Here is an 18,183-nt window from a genome sequence, read left to right as displayed (position 1 = left end):
ATGAAAATAAAGCATATTTTAAATGGAAATATTTACATGACCAAATAGGTCACATTTTGATTCCTCTAATTCAGTATGGCTTATTTACAGGAAACTGTTCAGGATTATTAATCTGTCACATGAACTTGTTCTTTCCTTAAATGAATTAGATGAAACTAGCCCCTTTCCAGGTCTAAATTTCTATGAATCTGCATGGCACATTATGTTTGTTCTCTTTTAAAGTAGAAATGGAAGATTTTCATGTAAGGCTGTGAGCTTTCTCTGGATTTACCCCTTAATAATTAAGGTAGTAAAAGATGTTTTGTAAGTTGTAGAAAGGCAACTCAAGTCTTTTTGAACCTGTCAGCTCAGGTGCCTATTTAAAATGATCAGTATGCTGTAGCTGAGGTGAGCAGAAGTAGCATTTCCATGTGCTGCATTTTGTTGACTCCTGTTTTTTAAAAGCAAAAGCATCTGTCACTGTGCTTCTTAAATATTCAACTGAGTGGGAACAGCCTCATTCAAATCTGGTGGAAATCCAGGAGAAAAATAGTGATATAATTTCGGGAGTAGGAAAGAATCTCCTTCTAATACAGTATATATCCATTGAGATCTAGGCAAGTACATAATTTCTTATAAAAATGAATTTAAATATGCAATAATTAAAGTATAAAACTTATGTCTTCCTCTTCTTGTATTTCATTCTTGTCTTTATTTCTTAATCTTGTAGAAAGTACAGATGATACTGAAATAGTGAGTTATCATTGGGAAGAAATAAACGGGCCCTTCATAGAAGAGAAGACTTCAGTTGACTCTCCCGTCTTACGCTTGTCTAACCTTGATCCTGGTAACTATAGTTTCAGGCAAGTGGGTCCCTGCCTTTATTGTGCTGCCTGCTACTTACATTTTGACTGTTTCTTTAAATTAACGCACATAAAACACTGCACTTCTTATTTTGATCAAAAGAGATTTGGCTTTCATGGGGGTTTTGGTTGCATGCCGCTGGAGACTCTGATATCCTCATCAATTAATAGGAACTTTATTTATTTATTGGAGTAAAATTTATATATAGTGAAAGGTACTTTATGAGATTCATTTAATTCATTTGTATTTAATTACGCTTTACCATCTTATTGGAGCAGCTTACTGCTGCTAACCCATGAAGAAATTTCCTAACGGGCCCAAAAAGTGTCCTGACTCAGCCTGGTTGAGAAGGAAGGACTTTAGATGTTTGGTTTGCTGTCAGAGCCAGAAGTAGAAGTTGGATCTTGGTTGTGTGGAGTATGAGGGATAGTGTGGAAGGAAGCTCAGAATGCACAGGTGCCCCCTACATGTCTTTTCCCTGCAAGGAAGGCCTGCATTCTTGCCACAGCTTCATTGTCATATGCCTATTGATATTATTTAGCACTCATCACTGCTCCCACCACCATCTTTAACGTAGAAGGATGAAGTGACCCATTTGTGAATTCACTGTCCTCAGGACCACATTAGGAATCAGTTTAGTGCAGGAAAGTTAACGCACTTCTCTTTTTTGTTTGCAGAGGTTGAGCATTGGTTCGCATTTGAAAGTGCTTAATCCTAACACTGCTTTGCAAGGAGTATCCTGAAAACATAATTATAAGTCCTCTAGAAAAGGATTAAAAAGTAAAAAGCTTTGTAGCTGAAAATTCAGGAGTGATTTGCTGTCTCTGCATGCTCAACCTGCAGGCAGAACTTAAACCTGATCCATTTTTAGTCTCCGTTAAGAGAGTGGCATCTGTGTTGGGTGAGGATGGTTTCTTCACCCAGCATCTCAAAAGCTAATCAGAAATCCATAAAGGTGAAACTCTGACATCAATATGTTATGAACTAAAACTAAAAATAGCCAACAGCAGCAAAAGCAAACAAAAATATCAAGTCTGTGTTTATCTTTGCTTCATCCTTAAATTTCTATTTTTACCTGTTCCGAGAACTGTTCCATGAGCAGACTAAATTGACCTAAGTTTACCTTGAGATTTGGCATATTATTTTTTTGTCTACTTTTTTTCTTTTTTTTTTGGTTGTTTTTTGTGACAGTCTGTTGCTCTGCTGCCTGAGCTGCAGCGCAGTGGAGCAATATCGGCTCACTGCAGCCTTGACCTCCCGGGCTCAAATGATCCTCCCACCTCAGCCTCCCAAGTAGCTAGAACTACAGGTGTGCATGACCACACTCGGCTAATTTTTTTTTTTTTAATTAAATAGAGACAGAGTCTCCTTCTATGGCCCAGCTGGTCTCAGAACTCCTGGGCTCAAGCGATCCTCCCACCTCAGCTTCCCACAGTGTTGGGATTACAGGCGTGAGTCACTGCACCCAGCCTGGCATATTCTTCCAACTACGGCTTCTTCTCCTTTTTGTAGGTTGACTGTTACAGACTCGGACGGAGCCACTAACTCTACAACTGCAGCCCTAATAGTGAACAATGCTGTGGACTACCCACCAGTTGCTAATGCAGGACCAAATCACACCATAACTTTGCCCCAAAACTCCATCACTTTGAATGGAAACCAGAGCAGTGACGATCACCAGATTGTCCTCTATGAGTGGTCCCTGGGTCCTGGGAGTGAGGGCAAACATGTGGTCATGCAGGCAAGTTCTCCATCCTGCCTTCAGACTTTTGTCTGTCTGTCTGTCTGTCTACCTAGCTATGTGCTATTGGTTGGGGTAGGCAGTTAAATTTAGATAATTTATTTTGTAAAGTTATCTGATCTATTACAACTATTAGAAAAGGACCTAAGCTCACAAATCTTCCAAGTTTACATCCCTTCCCCTCGCCCACTTAGATAAGCACAGGACAGCAACCAATTGGCTCTGTGCTGAAAATTAGATCTTGAGATCGGTTTGGGAAAAGTCTCACATCTGTTAGAGAAGTATTTTCGTATTGGGAGAAACCTTAGAAATAATCTAATCTAAACCTGATTATCAGAATTTTTTTTGTTATTCTGTTTCTCCTGTTTATAGAAACTCCATGTTATCTTGTCTACATCCACTGGTCGCTTTTTAGGACCTTGTTTGTATCTACCTTTTGATTTGTTCAAATCTTTTAAATATATTTGTCTAACAACATAATAATCTTGAAACTTCTGTTGTGTGTGTGAGCTGTTTGCTTATTCTTCTTTTTGTGATTGGCAAAGCTATTTGTTTTTGTTGCTAACCAGCTTGGTGTTTTTGAAGTTATGTTATTATTTGAGTTTCATGAGAAAAAAAAAAAAGATAGGACCTTACATTTCCATCTTCCTTTTCTCCTTCAAATTTTGCCTCACCAGTCCAAGATACATTTCTCATTAGTATTTAAGATAAAATCGGACATTCCATGGAAACTTACCTGCTTTGCTTTCCAGTGTTCCTGGAACATGCCTTGCAATTATGAGGAGTTAAAAGTGACTAGGTAGATTTATGGAACTTGAAAGAGCCATGAGTTGTCTGGATATCCTTGGAGAACCCTCTTGGTGGTGTCCATCTCTACCTAAGGGTTGTAGCAAGTGCTATGTTTGCTTCTGTTGTGTTAAGAATTCTGATTCAGAGGCGGGTTGGATACAAAACAGGAAGATGGGATATTTTTTATTTTCACGGTTAAAAAAAATCTTCCTAATTTTCTTTTACTTAATTATTAGGAATTATGCATCCAAAGCTAATACTCCAAAATCCATCCATGCATACTGGATGTGTATCCAAAGTTCCTGAGGGCTGGGCCACACTGTGAGCCTTGCCTCTACACACCAGCCCAGTTGCCAGACACCCTCTCTCTTCTTTCCCCGAAGAATATCCACAGTAACAACCTTATTGCCTTAAGCTTGATTAAGATGTCCAAAGGAGTATTAACTGGGGCAATCACAAAATGAGGTCTGTGAATCAGACCCTTTTATATTTGTCTGAAAATTGTACCAAGCAGCCTGCTGAGGCTGTGTTCTTACTGGGAAGGAAGTGAAACCTTTGCAATTGCCTGAAACATGTGGCCGCCTTGAGGGCATTGGTGAGACACAGTAGTCTGCTCAGTTCCCATTTGCCACAACATTCCCTTCCATTGTGTGCAGAAGCATTCTCGTACCAGATCAATTTGGAGGCAACTCCTGGGAAATTATACTTTCCCTGTTGAACTTTTCAGAGAAACGTGCTTTGCCTTACTTAGTCAAAGTAGGGGAAAGTATTTTTTTTTCAAAAGTTCTTAAAAGGGTGCATTTCAAATTTCAGAAGTTCCCCTGGTAGCACAATGGATCTTGTAACAATTTTCTTTTTAAATTTTCCATTAAAACCTTAAAAAATACACATAGAAACATTTATCTATAGACAATCTTGGGATCTATAAAAGTAAATAAATTGTAATAAGACTTAAAAATCCATTTCATGATGCCATGAACTTCAAACATAAGCAATAATTGAAATTATTACCAACGACAAAAAAGAAAGGGTATTAACCTGAGGTCACCAAGTGTAGCTGTTGCATACTCAGTTGAAAAAATGACTTTGTAAAAACTTAGGTTGACTTAGAGTTTTACAAAATTATATTATTTATTTATTATGAAACAGGGTCTCACTCTGTCACCCAGGCTGGAGTGCAGTGGTGCAACTATGGCTCACCGTAGCCTTGATCTCCTGGGCTCAAAAGATCCTCCCATCTCAGCCTCCCGAGTAGCTAGGACCACAGGCACACACCACTACACCTGGCTAATTTTTGTGGTTTTTTTTGTGAAGATGGGATTTTGCCATGTTGCCCAGGCTGATCTCTAACTCCTGGGCTCAAGAAATCTTCTCGCCTTGGCCTCCCTAAGTGCTAGGATCACAGGCATGAGCCACCACACCCGGCAAAAAGTTGTTTTTATTATTATTAATTTTTTCTTTTTTGAGACAGAGTCTCACTCTGTGGCCCAGGCTGGAGTGCAGTGGCACCATCTTGGCTCACTGCAACCTCCACCCCCTGAGTTCAAGTGATTCTTCTGTCTCAGCCTCCTGAGTAGCTGGGATTACAGGTGCCTGCCACCACGCCCGAATAATTTTTGTATTTTTAGTAGAGACGGGGTTTCACCATTTTGGCCAGGCTGGTCTTGAACTCCTGACTTCATGATCCACCCGCCGTAGCCTCCCAAAGTGCTGGGGTTACAGGCATGAGCCACTGCACCCAGCCAAAAAATTATTTTTGATTACAAAACTAATACATGAATTGCCTCTTGTGGTTAAAAAAAATAATAATAAAAAAGCTCAAATAAATTCTGCTAAAATAAGTTCAAATAAATTGATCACCACTGTCATCCAAGTGTCCTTATTGGAAATAATTACTTTTATCAGTTTAATGTGTACACTTCCAGAATCTTTTCCATGTGTCTGTGTAAGTGTGCGTATGTACATGTAGCAATACCTTTCACATTGTATGCATTGTTCCACAAATTTCTTTTTTGTGTGGATTTCTTTAAAAATTTTTTTACTGTTTGCTTTTGAATGCGACCCAACTTTCTTTTTTTTGCTTAATATTTCTTTGACATTTTCCATTTTAGTACTTATAAACCTGCCTCATGATTTTAAACTTCTTTCTTTTAAACTAGCATTCCACAGTGTATCATAGTGTGTTTGACCATCCTCCTGTTGATGGATGTGTAGATTGTTTCCATGTTTTGCTGTGATAGACTGTTCTTCAGTCAGCATCCATGGACGAGTCTCCTTGTGCATTTCTCTGGGGTAGATACTAAGAAGTCGAATTACTGGGTTGGAGTATGTGCTTATTTAATATTTTAATAGCTGTTTTCATACTGGCTTCCAAAAAGCCTATGGTAGTTTACACTCCTTCAATAGTGTATGAGGATGCACAGTAGACTTTCAGTTGCACTTTCCTGGGGACCAACATATTTTTTTCTTTTTTCTGTCAACCAGGCTGCAGTGCAGTGGTGCAGTCTCAGCCCACTGCAACCTCCCTCTCCCGTGTTCCAAGTGATTCTCGTGCCTCAGCCTCTTAAGTAGCTGGGATTACAGGTGCCCGCCATCATGCCCAGCTGATTTTTAAAATATATTTTTAGTAGAGACGGGGTTCCACCATGTTGGCCAGGCTGGTCTCGAACTCCTGACCTCAAGTGATCCACCTGCCTTGGCCTCCTAAAGTGCTGGGATTACAGATGTGAACCACCGTGCCTGGCCAAACACATTTCTTTTTTGAGCAAGATCTCTGTATTAAGTAAAATTGTTAGTTTTTCATTCTGTCATACTATTTACTTGTGCTTCTTTACTTTTTTGTTTTGTTTTGTTTTTATTTTTGTATTTGCTATTACTTAGGGAGTACAGACGCCATACCTTCATTTATCTGCAATGCAGGAAGGAGATTATACATTTCAGCTGAAGGTGACAGATTCTTCAAGGCAACAGTCTACTGCTGTGGTGACTGTGATTGTCCAGCCTGGTAGGTGGAGGAGAAAGAGATTTGGCCTCAGAGATTAAAGCAGAAATGATAGCTGGGCTTCTGGGGTTTGGAGATGCCACACTTGGTGGTACCGGCCTGTGGGTGCCAAAGCTCCATATAAAACTAATTTCATTTCAAGGTTCTAAATCTTGCCTTGACTGTAAACTATGGCATGAAGGATGAAATGAGAGCCATCCACAGCACTGCTTGTGGGCTCCGATTTGCCTTGTGGATGCTTCCACACGTGCCCCAGTCTGCTCTGGAGAGCTCCAGGGGATCTTGAAGGGGCTGGTTCTTATGTGTGGCTTGACACTCAGATGTAGCCAGACATTGGGGAACACGTTGCAGTTCAGTGTCACTGTTCATTAATAGTTTCATGAAAACCCAGGGCTCTGCCTACCTCCTGAGTTAAATAACCTTAAAGGTAGCTATACCTTTGTTTGATAATGGTCTTTGCCTTAGAACTTTTCTAGAAGAGTTCTGTTAGTCCAAGAACCTCTATCCAGTTCCTGGCAATGAGATTATACTCAACCTATAGACAACTTATTTATTTATGCCGCTAATACATAAAAAGTTCTATTAGTTAGACCCTGGGATGTGGAATTAAACAAGATAGACTTGATCTCTGCCCTTGCAGGGCTTATGGAGAAGTTCACATAAAACTCTGTGATTGGCGCTCTACTAAAATAACTGCAGGGTGCTACAGGACCCCAAAGAAAGAGCACTCACCTGGGTGAGATGCATCTGCAAAGAGCTCGTACATGAGCTCAAGGTTGAAGCACAAGTCACAGTTAGTCGGTGAAGAATGGGAGGGGTGGGCAGCACAGGAGAAGAGGAAGAGTTCTTAGGCAGAGGGAACAGTATGCGTGGGCGCCAAAGAAGAGAGTCTGGTACATTCGAAGATTTAAAAGGAATTACTGTGATTGGAGAGAGAGAAAAAGAGGTAGGGATGTGGGAATGGGAGGTGGTGGGGAGGTTGGGCAGGGATTGGAATGACAATAGATGACCCCAAGAGAGCCCGGGGCACCATCCTAAAGGGCTTTGTAAATGTATGGTCACCCAAGTACTCTATCCTACGGCAAAGGGAAACCCCTATTTTGTAGTGAGTAGGATCATGGGGGCTGTGGCGTGGTGCAAACATTGGGTAATGGCTGCCACAGCTTTTGACTACATGACTTCTTTTTTTTTTTTTTTTTGTGAGACAGGGTCTCACTTTGTTGCCCAGGCTGGTCTCAAACTCCTGGACTCAAGCAGTTCTCTCACCTTTGGCCTCCCAAAGTACTGGGATTACAGGTGTAAGCCACTACACCTGGCCCTTTTTTTTGGTTTACACATATTTTATCTATTTATATCAATATTAGCAATACTTTTTTTTTTTCCCTCGAGACAGAGTCTCACTCTGTCGTCTAGGCTGGAGTGCAGTGGCATGATCTTGACTCACTGCAATCTCTGCCTCCCGGGTTCAAATGATTCTAGTGCCTCAGCCTCCTGAATAGCTGGGATTACAGATGTGTGCCACCATGCCTGGCTAATTTTTGGATTTTTAATAGAAACACAGAGTTTCGCCACGTTGGCCAGGCTGGTCTTGAACTCCTGGCCTCAAGTGATCCCCTGCCTCGGCCTCCCAAAGTGCTGGGATTACAGGCGTGAACTACCACGCCCTGCCAATATCAGCAATACTTTATATCTTTTACTTTTGTTTAACATTTAATTTAAAATGTTTTGAATATTTACTGTTTACCAGGCACTGTGTTAGCACTGAGGCTACAGAGACAAAAGGAAGTAAGCCCTACCTGATAAAGCAGGTCTCTTCACATCAACGTCCCCTCCCTCCCTCTCTGTGATGTCCCTTTGTCCCCTCCCTCCCTCTCTCTCTTCCTCCCTCCCTTCCTTCCTCTCTCTTTCCTTCCTCCCCCAACCCTTCTTCCCTCTCTCATTTTACCCTTCTTTCCTTTCCTTCTCTTTCACCCTATGACGATTTTTTTTTTTAGACGGATCTTGCTCTGTCTCCCAGGCTGGAGTGCAGTGGCACAATCTTGGCTCACTGCAAGCTCCGCCTCCCGGGTTCATGCCATTCTCCTGCCTCAGCCTCCCGAGTGGCTGGGACTACAGGCGCCTGCCACCACACCTGGCTAATTTTTTGTATTTTTAGTAGAGACGGGGTTTCACCGTGTTAGCCAGGATGGTCTTGATCTCCTGACCTCGTGATCCGCCCGCCTCGTTCTCCCAAAGTGCTGGATTACAGGCGTGAGCCACTGTGCCCGGCCGACTGAGGATCTTTTAAACCAAATAAACCAAAGATGTGTCTATTAGAGACAGTGTTTCTTGGCTGCCTATAACAGCAGTCTTGAACTTGGACTGTTCAACTCCTGGATCAGCTAGGAGGCTGCAGTGCTTCACTCCAGGATTCCAAAGGATGCTGCATACTCTAGTGGCTGCCTGGTCTGAAGATGAGTAATGTACTTAAATCAAGAAATCACAGGATTGCAGACTTAATGCAAAGAGATAATACTTTTTCACACTGTTTCTGTAATTCCAGAAAACAATAGACCTCCAGTGGCTGTGGCCGGCCCTGATAAAGAGCTGATCTTCCCAGTGGAAAGTGCTACCCTGGATGGGAGCAGCAGCAGCGATGACCACGGCATTGTCTTCTACCACTGGGAGCACGTCAGGTAGTCTGTCTCGCCACTGAGCTAGGTTCATGCCCATGCTGAATGCTAATATTATCCCTTCTCTGGAGGATCTGTAGTAAACAATCAGCTTGCGCATTTTGAGGAGTCGGGATTTAAGCACGTTTCTAGAAGTGGCTGGGCGTTATTGATTGAAGAGTACATTAAGTGTGGATGGACATCATTGACAGCGGAGGGAGGTAGAGCTTGGGGCAGTTGAACAGGGCTGTCTTGGTGTGAGGCGAGCTCATGACAGAAGAGGTTCAGGGAAACCTGTGTGTGATCCTGTCTACACTCAACCCATCCTGCAGTGACTGTAGACACCAGAAGTGCAGTGTAAGGGGCGACCCATATCATCTAACATTTTCTGAGCTTTACATGCTCTGTCTCATAGAACCCTGTATCAGTTTGTAAGAGATAAATAAGAATATTATTCCTATTTAAAGTTGAAGAAACTGAGGCTTGTAGACACTAATGAGACCACACAGACTAAGGTTGCCCAGATAGTAAGAGAAAGAGCTTGGACCCAAACTGAGGTATTTTTGACAAGCCCCGATCTTAGTGACTATACTGTGATCTCTCTCCTAGGAGAGGGCTTATCTGGCTTATTCCCTCCTCTTCCATGCTCTCCCTAAAGATAGATGAGGATTTCACCTAATTTTATTCAAAGAAGAAATGGGAGTCGTTTCTAAGGCTCATTTTCCAAGGATAGATCATTTCACTGGCAGCTTGACTTAAAAAAATCGAGAACAAATATTCTCTTCCCAGTAATCCAGCAGACTCTGCCTGAGATAGGTTTTAGCTTGTGACTCTTACACTGAACTAGAGAGTACAGATGAATGGAGTTTTCTTAGAATTCTCTAAATGGTATATATTATAGCTGGAACAAAACATTTATAAGAGCACAAATCGCATGCCTGTCATATTCAAAACCCCATGCCCCCTCCCTTATGTTAACCACTTCTATGTTTTATAGAGGCCCCAGTGCAGTGGAGATGGAAAATATTGACAAAGCAATAGCCACTGTGACTGGTCTCCAGGTGGGGACCTACCACTTCCGTTTGACAGTGAAAGACCAGCAGGGACTGAGCAGCACGTCCACCCTCACTGTGGCTGTGAAGAAGGGTGAGTGGGTCTGAGGTGGACAGGGCTGGGCCTGCTCTGCTTTCGAGTCTGCAGGACCCTCAGCCAGGCCATGACTATTCAGAGATGTTGGTGTTTGCTTATTTGTTCGCAGCAGATGCCGAACCCTGCCTGGCTGAAAAAAAGCCAACTTTCTTCTATTCATGTTAGCTGTTTCTCAGTCGCCCTCTGCAAGCAGACATTTCCTTTTGTTTGTGGAGCATATCTTCTAATGACTTCACTCTTCTGTGACTACTAGTAATGAAAGACCCACGTCCAAATGACACCATTATGCTTTTTTTCCTTTATTCCTTGGAAATTCAAGAAAAGAGATGTTTTCAAATTCCATATCGTTTCTTAGTGTGAAATCTGTGGTCTAGACTAGTGAATACTGCTTTAGGTACTTGTCTCCTTGTCTGTCTTCCCATTTGACTGTGAACTGCCTGAGTGTCTTTGCTTCAGACATCTCTGTATCCTCAGTATAGCCTCAGTATAGCAGAGTGCTAGACTCATGGCAAATCAGAGGTGTTGAATGAATTAGTGAATGGATGATTACAACGTGTTGAAGTGCAGAGGAGTATAAGAGCCTGGCTGGATGGAAAGGTTCAAGCATTGTAGAATGGCAAGAGTGTGGGACGCTGGGAGAGTGGCTGCAGCCTGAGGCACAGGCTCTGCCATGGAGGGTTGTATGTGCCACGGGCCATGCTTAGGGGTTTGGACTTTATCCTCTGGGCAGCTGGGAGAGGCTGAAGCAACTTTAACAGCAAAGTGATATAGATTTGGATTTTTCAAAAGATTTTATTGTAGAGATTTTCAACCATGCATAAAAGTAGAGAGAATAGTCTGAACAGGCATCTTGACTTGTTTCTAAGGGGAAATTGGGAGGGATCAGGCTGGGTCCCAGAGCCCCTTCTGGACAAGCAGGATTTGCCTCACAGCAGCCTCATCTCCAAATTGAGGCTGTGTCTTATTATGATCTCCCCACTGTACCCCAGTGTTGTTAGTGCTCCCTGGCCCCTCTTTTCTGAAGTTATTACATCAGAAATGGCTTTTACATTGCCTCATTTTTTTATTTTTAAAATAGACCCAGGGTCTCACTCTGTTGCTCGGACTGGAGTACTGTGCTGTGATCATAGCTCATTGCAGCCTCAAACTCCTGATCTCAAGTGATTCTCTCACCTCAGCTTCCTGAGTAGCTGGGTCTACAGGTGTGTGTTACCATGCCCAGCTGATTTTTAATTTTGTGTGTGTGTGGAGACGGGTCTTGCTACCCAGGCTGGTCTTGAACTTCTGGCTTCAAGCACTCATCCTGCCTTAGCCTCCCCAAGTGTTAGGATTACAGTTATGAGCCACCATGCCTGGCCATTGCCTCATTTATATTTAACACCTAGTCAGAGAAGTGAGGGCCTAATTATCATTGTTATTATTTCAATTTTTAATTTTTCATAGAGATGGAGACTTGTTGTGTTGCCCCGGCTGGTCTCAAACTCCTGGTCTCAAGTGATTCTCCTGCTTTGGCCTCCTAAAGTGCTGGGATTACAGGTGTGAGCCACTGCACCCAGCCTACTTTTTACTCAAATTTTTTTTTTCTTTTTTTTTGTCTTAGAGAGTCAAGATTTGGCAGTACTTGAAGTGGAAATATTTCTGGCCAGATAGTGTGGACCAGTACAAAATGACCCAAAGTATATTGTAAACCAAAATATTGCCACTTTCAATACCCTAAATGTTGGTAAAATCATTGTTTCTATTTTTCAAGGACAGAAAAGGTATAACAATATTAGAAAAATTCCCAAGGTACAGCTTGCCACCTGCTTTACCGTTTTCATCCCAAATTATAGCTAACTAAGTACAAATGGAGCTTTAAGGAAGTCTGTATCTTATATGCATCTGGGGAAAAAAATGCCTTTTTGGATATTTTAATTCTACATACTGTATCTGCAAGGTGGAAGAGTTGTGGATGTTTTATGACACACTTATTCTATCACTGGTGTTTTAAATCAATCTCTTTGCTTTCATTTTGCTATATTTGACTTAGAAAATAATAGTCCTCCCAGAGCCCGGGCTGGTGGCAGACATGTTCTTGTGCTTCCCAATAATTCCATTACTTTGGATGGTTCAAGGTCTACTGATGACCAAAGAATTGTGTCCTATCTGTGGATCCGGGATGGCCAGAGTCCAGCAGCTGGAGTGAGTACTGAGAGAGAATTGCTCCTAGACCACTTATCATTACATCTGCATTAGTCAGCTTGGGCTGCAAACAATATATCACGGTATATTCTAAGGAAAGGATATAAGTATAAGGAGGCTTAAACAACAGAACTTAATTTTGTCTCCATTATGGAGGCTGGGAAGACAGGCTCAAGTTGCTGGCTAATTCAGTTTCCAGTGAGGTCTTTCTTCCTGGCTTGCAGACAGCTGCCTTCTTACCATGTCCTCCCATAGCAGGGGAAGAGAGAGCACTCTGGTGTCTCTTCTTATAAGGACAGTAAATCCTATTGGATCAGGGGCCTACCCTTATGACCTCAATTAACCTTAACTACTTCCTTATAGGTCCTATTTCTAGATACAGTCATATGGGGTTAGGGCTTCAACACAGGAGTCTGGGAAAGACACAGTTCGGTCCACGGCAGTGTCTCTATAATGACCTCATCTCTCTTTCCCTGTTCCCTGTAAGGTGCTTATGCTTCTACATTAGAATGTTCTGAAGGCTGGAGGCAGTAGGCTGCTTTGAGATTTAGCCAAAAGCTGAAATCCTTTCTGACTTTTTCCTGAACAGACTTTGGATGGGGCAGGAAACCATAGCTTGGAAGCACTTTGAGGTCAAGTCTTCCAGCAGGATGCTTTTCCATCCTTCGTATTTTGGTCCAAGTGGATTCTTTTCTGTTCCTCATATTGTACCAGATGAGTCAATAGATCACGGATTGCTATTTACGTTTTATAGATGCAGAAGGCGAAATGCAGAGATGAGAAGTGACTTGGCCGAGGTTAACTAATCCATTTCTTTTGTTCTTTTTTTTTTTTTTTTTTTTTTGAGATGGAGTCTCACTCTATCGCCCAGGCTGTAGTGCAGTGGCGCAATCTCGGCTCACTGCAACCTCCGCTGCCCGAGTTCGAGCTATTCTCCTGCCTCAGCCTCCCGCGTAGCTGGGACTACAGGCACGTGCCACCACGTCCAGCTAATTTTTGTAGTTTTAGTAGAGATGGGGTTTCACCATGTTGGCCAGGATGGTCTTGATCTCTTGACCTTGTGATCCACCCGCTTCGGCCTCCCAAAGTACTGGGATTACAGGCGTGAGCCACCGCGCCCAGCCTTAACTAATCCATTTTTAATCAAACTAGACACACCTAGGTTTTTAGCTCCTGGCAGGCATTTTACCCCCATTAGATCACTCTGCCTCTTAGGACATAAATGTATGTACGTCTTCATTCCTGCCATTTCTAAGGACTGGAGAGATACAGATTTAGTCTTGGAGATGTACTAAGGAGTGGTCACAGGGAAGGAACTGAAAATGCTTTATACTTTTTTTTTTTGAGTCCGAGTCTCGCTCTGTCACCTAGACTGGAGTTTAGTGGTGCGATCTAGGCTCACTGCAAGCTCCACTTCCCAGGTTCAAGCCATTCTCCTGCCTCAGCCTCCCGAGTAGCTGGGACTGCAGGTGCCCACCACCACGCCTGTCTAATTTTTTTGTATTGTATTTTTAGTAGAGACGGGGTTTCACCTTGTTAGCCAGGATGTTCTCGATCTCCTGACCTCGTGATCCGCCTGCCTTTGCCTCCCAAAGTGGTGGGATTACAGGCGTGAGCCACCATGCCCTGCCAAATGCTTTATACTTTCTAAGCACTTCTAGAATTAACACTATTCAACTAGATGGGGGATTAGCCTCTAAATGTAATAACAATGAGTCTCTGTTCACAGCACATATTCGTTATCACCCCTTCTATTAGCAGGAGTCTGGGAGGTTCTTCTCTCATTCTTTGGAGCTTAGAAGCCCACAGAACAGAGGACGCTACACAGGGTCTTGGGTTATTTCAGGTGAACATGATACATTATGAGGGAATTCAAGATGAGAGTTTTGTAAAGCTATGTTTGAAAATAAGACCCAGAAAACCTGTGCTTTGTTCTCAGCGTCCTTGCCCTAATTCAAATGGTCTTTCCCTTTGTTGGATACAATTAATTATTTGGTAATTCCTGGAAAGTGCTTGGTAAACTTAGTTCAGTTCAGGAAATACTGTCTGAGGATGTGCCCCCTGGTGCTTTTTGGGGAAGAGATGCTGAGGATTTCTCCAGTCTTTAGCTATCCCGCCAGCCTCATTCCCTGCAGCCTCCCTCTTAAAGTCACGCCTGTGTTAAAAAGATGGGACACTGAGGTTTAGGATCAACAGAAGCCCAGAAATTGGGACCCGAGGATTGACAGCTGCCCTGTGATCCGTGTTCTTTCGCAGGATGTCATCGATGGCTCTGACCACAGTGTGGCTCTGCAGCTTACGAATCTGGTGGAGGGGGTGTACACTTTCCACTTGCGAGTCACCGACAGTCAGGGGGCCTCGGACACAGACACTGCCACTGTGGAAGTGCAGCCAGGTGAGTTCCTGGGCTCTGGAGCTGGCCATGCAGGCTCTGGCTGGTCAGCCTTTGGGGTCTTTACGCTGACAGATGTGACCAGTGTGGGAGGCCTCCTGTGGCTGGCTCCAGCTCTTGGCTGGACCCACTTTGAGGATGTCTCTTACACCTTGTTGTGTATCCCCAGATAGATCCAGCCTCATCACTCTTTAAAAGAGAATGTTATCTGGCAACTAGATTTTCTTTTCATGTTTGTTTTCCTGCCAGAAGACAAAGACTTAATGTGAAGTGGACACAAGGGCCTCATACCAGGGCACAGAGGGAGGCAGCTCCAGTGAAGTGGCTGTAACGACCTCAGCATAAACTGGACTGGGAAGTGCCCATTGGCACTTGGAAGCAAAATTCTCTTTCTGGTCCTGGGAAAATGTGGAAGAGGCTGAAATTTTCAGCTAGCCCAGAGGCTAATTAGGTACACCCGATTATCTTCTGGAAAAAAAATTATAAACAACAAACTGTGATAAAACAAGGGAAAGTACTCCCAGATAGTGGCCTTTGCGGTGTTTAGAAGAATTTACCTGAGTGCTACAACTCAAATGTAGAAATGGCATAGGAGTAACTTTGAGCTCCTATAGAAACCTCGCTCCTTATGCTCTAAAGCCTGTGCAAATGTCCAAGTGCAAATCCTGTATCTTCTCTTTCCCCAGACCCTAGGAAGAGTGGCCTGGTGGAGCTGACCCTGCAGGTTGGTGTTGGGCAGCTGACAGAGCAGCGGAAGGACACCCTTGTGAGGCAGCTGGCTGTGCTGCTGAACGTGCTGGACTCGGACATTAAGGTCCAGAAGATTCGGGCCCACTCGGATCTCAGGTAGGAGCTGCACACTCAAGGCGGGGCCTTGGCCGTACAAAATTCCAGCTCTTACCTCATCCCAGTCCAGTAGAAAACTGTTCATTCCTCTGCTACTTTTGTATTTTTGACACACTTTTATCCCATTCATATACTTTTTTTCTCAAAGGGCAGTAGTATGGCCAACATCATGCTAGGTCCTTCCTAAAATTCTCAGTAAATGTTTGCTGATTGGGAATGTTCTGAGTGAAGGAGGTGCTGGGGAACAGCAGGGGAGACGGTTGTTAGCTCTGGTGTCTTCAGAGCTGGGCAAGGGGTCTGGAGCATGTGAAGAGGATGTCTCACAGCTGGGCTGCATCCCTGCCCCACGTTCATGGGGACTGAGGCTTCTCTCAATGTGAAAGGATCACTGATTACCATTTGCCATCTCCTGGGAGTATATGAGGCTGAAACTCTGGCCTTTATTTTTCATGACATCTTTGTATTTAATTGAGTTTTATTTATTTAATCTATTTATTATTTTATTTTATTTTTATTTTTTGAGACAGGGTCTCGCTCTGTTGCCTAGGCTAAAGTGCAGTGGCATGGTCTCAGCTTACTGTAACCTCCGCCTTTCAGATTCAAGTGATTCTCCTGCCTCAGCCACCTGAGTAGCTGGGACTACTGGTGCCCCCACTATACCCGGCTAATTTCTGTATTTTTAGTAGAGGCAGGGTTTCATCTTGTTGACCAGGCTGGTCTCAAACTCCTGACCTCAAGTGATTCGCCCACTTAGGCCTCCCAGGGTGCTGGGATTATAAGTGTGAGCAACCATGCCTGGCTGAATTTTACTTTTAAAGTCTTATCTAGCTCAGGGTGGAGTGGGAGGAGGGAGAAAAAGAATATGGGAATGAAAACCCACTATTCACAGTAACTCCATTTGCCTAGCTATTGTCAGCTCTTCCACTTTGGTTAGTTTTCCAGAGAACTGAAGTTCACTTAGAAAAACACCAAATTTAAACATGTTCTAATTATTTTCTAAGGAACTCTTTCTAAAATGGATCATATATTTCCCTCGTAAAATATAAAATACTGAATCAAAGACATGTCTGAAAATCAACAAAACCAAAAGTTGTTTCTTGGACAGATCAGCAAAATTGATAAATCCTTAGCTAGATTGACTAAGAAAAAATAGAGAAGACTCATACTACTAAAATTAGGCATGAAATAAGGCACATTACTACTGACTTTATAGAAATAAAAAGGGCTGGATGCAGTGGCTCATACCTGTAATCCCAACACTTTGGGAGGCCAAGGCAGGCAGATAGCTTGAACCCAGGAGTTCGAGACCAACCTGGGCAATGGCGAAATGCTATCTCCACAAAAAACTTGCCAGGTGGCCAGGTGCGGTGGCTGACGCCTGTAATCCCAGCACTTTGGGAGGCCGAGGTGGGCAGATCACTTGAGGTCAGGAGTTCAAGACCAGCCTGGCCAACATGGCGAAACCTCGTCTCTACTAAAAATACAAAAATTAGCTGGGTGTGGTGGCAGGTACCTGTAATTCCAGCTACTCAAGAGGCTGAGGCAGGATAATTGCTTGAACCTAGGAGGCAGAGGTTGCAGTGAGCTATCGCGCCACTGCACTTCAGCCTGGGTGACAGAGCGAGACTCCATCTTAAAAAAAAAAAAAATTAGCCAGGCATGGTGGCACACGCCCATGGTCTCAGCTACCCAGGAGGCTGAGGTGAGAGGATCACTTGGGAGGTTGAGGCTGCTGTGAGCCATGTTCACACCATTGCATTCCAGCCTGGACAACAGAATGAGACCCAGTCTCCAAAAAATGTGGGTGGGGGAGGATTATAAGAGAATATTATGGATCATTGTATGTCAACACATTAGATAACCTAGATTAAGTGGACAAATTCCTAAACAGACATAAATTACAAAAACTCACTTGAGAAGAACTTAAAAATCTAAATAGACCTATAACAAATAAAGAGATTGAATTAGTAATGTTAAAACTTTCCACAAAATTCAAGACCAGATGGCTTCACTGATTAATTCTGCAAAATGTTTAAAGAATGAACAGTCCTTCACAAACTTCCAAAAAATAGAAGAGGAGGGAACATTTCCCAACTCATTCAGTAAGACCAGTTTTACCTTGACACTAAAATCAGACAAAGACATCACAAGAAATGAGAACTACAGACCAATATCCCTTGTGAATATAGAAGCAAAAATCTACAACAAAATACTATCAAACTGAATCCAGCAACTTATTACAAGGTTTATAGACCATAACCAAGTGGGATTTATCCCAGGAATGCAAGTGTGGTTCAGCATATAAAAATCAATAAATGTCATAAACCACATTAATAGGATAAAGGACAAAACCACAGGATCATCTCAATAGGCACAGAAAAAGCATTTGACAAAATCCAACACCCTTTCATGATGAAACACTTGCCGTGGGTTGAATTATATCCACCCCCTGCCCCCCACCAAAATATAGTCAAGCCCTAACCTCTGGTACCTATGAATGTCACCTTACTTAGAAATAGGGTCATTACAGATGTAATTAGTTAAGAAGTTATACTGGAGTAGGGTGGGCTTTTAAATCAATATGACTGGT

At 42.9% G+C, this 18,183-nt stretch overlaps 1 protein-coding gene across 21 annotated transcripts in view; it reads left to right on the top strand.

Moving 5' to 3' along the window:
* KIAA0319 overlaps window positions 1–18,183 on the top strand; it is a 106,051-nt gene that overhangs the window by 67,240 nt on the left and 20,628 nt on the right. For 20 of the 21 annotated variants that reach the window (XM_017011546.3, XM_047419602.1, XM_047419604.1 and 17 more), the window contains 8 exons: window positions 710–842; window positions 2,356–2,584; window positions 6,254–6,377; window positions 8,917–9,049; window positions 10,023–10,171; window positions 12,204–12,355; window positions 14,612–14,750; window positions 15,434–15,593. In XM_017011546.3, the coding sequence (XP_016867035.1) occupies window positions 710–842; window positions 2,356–2,584; window positions 6,254–6,377; window positions 8,917–9,049; window positions 10,023–10,171; window positions 12,204–12,355; window positions 14,612–14,750; window positions 15,434–15,593 (1,219 nt within the window). The remainder of the gene's footprint in view (window positions 1–709; window positions 843–2,355; window positions 2,585–6,253; window positions 6,378–8,916; window positions 9,050–10,022; window positions 10,172–12,203; window positions 12,356–14,611; window positions 14,751–15,433; window positions 15,594–18,183) is intronic. The other variant, NM_001252328.2, reaches the window with a different exon arrangement.

Source organism: Homo sapiens, chromosome 6 (genome assembly GCF_000001405.40).
Source record: "Homo sapiens chromosome 6, GRCh38.p14 Primary Assembly".
NCBI classification, from domain to species: Eukaryota; Metazoa; Chordata; class Mammalia; order Primates; family Hominidae; genus Homo; species Homo sapiens.
The sequence above is the reverse complement of the archived record's forward strand: the minus strand, read 5'-3'. Positions and strand labels throughout refer to the sequence as shown.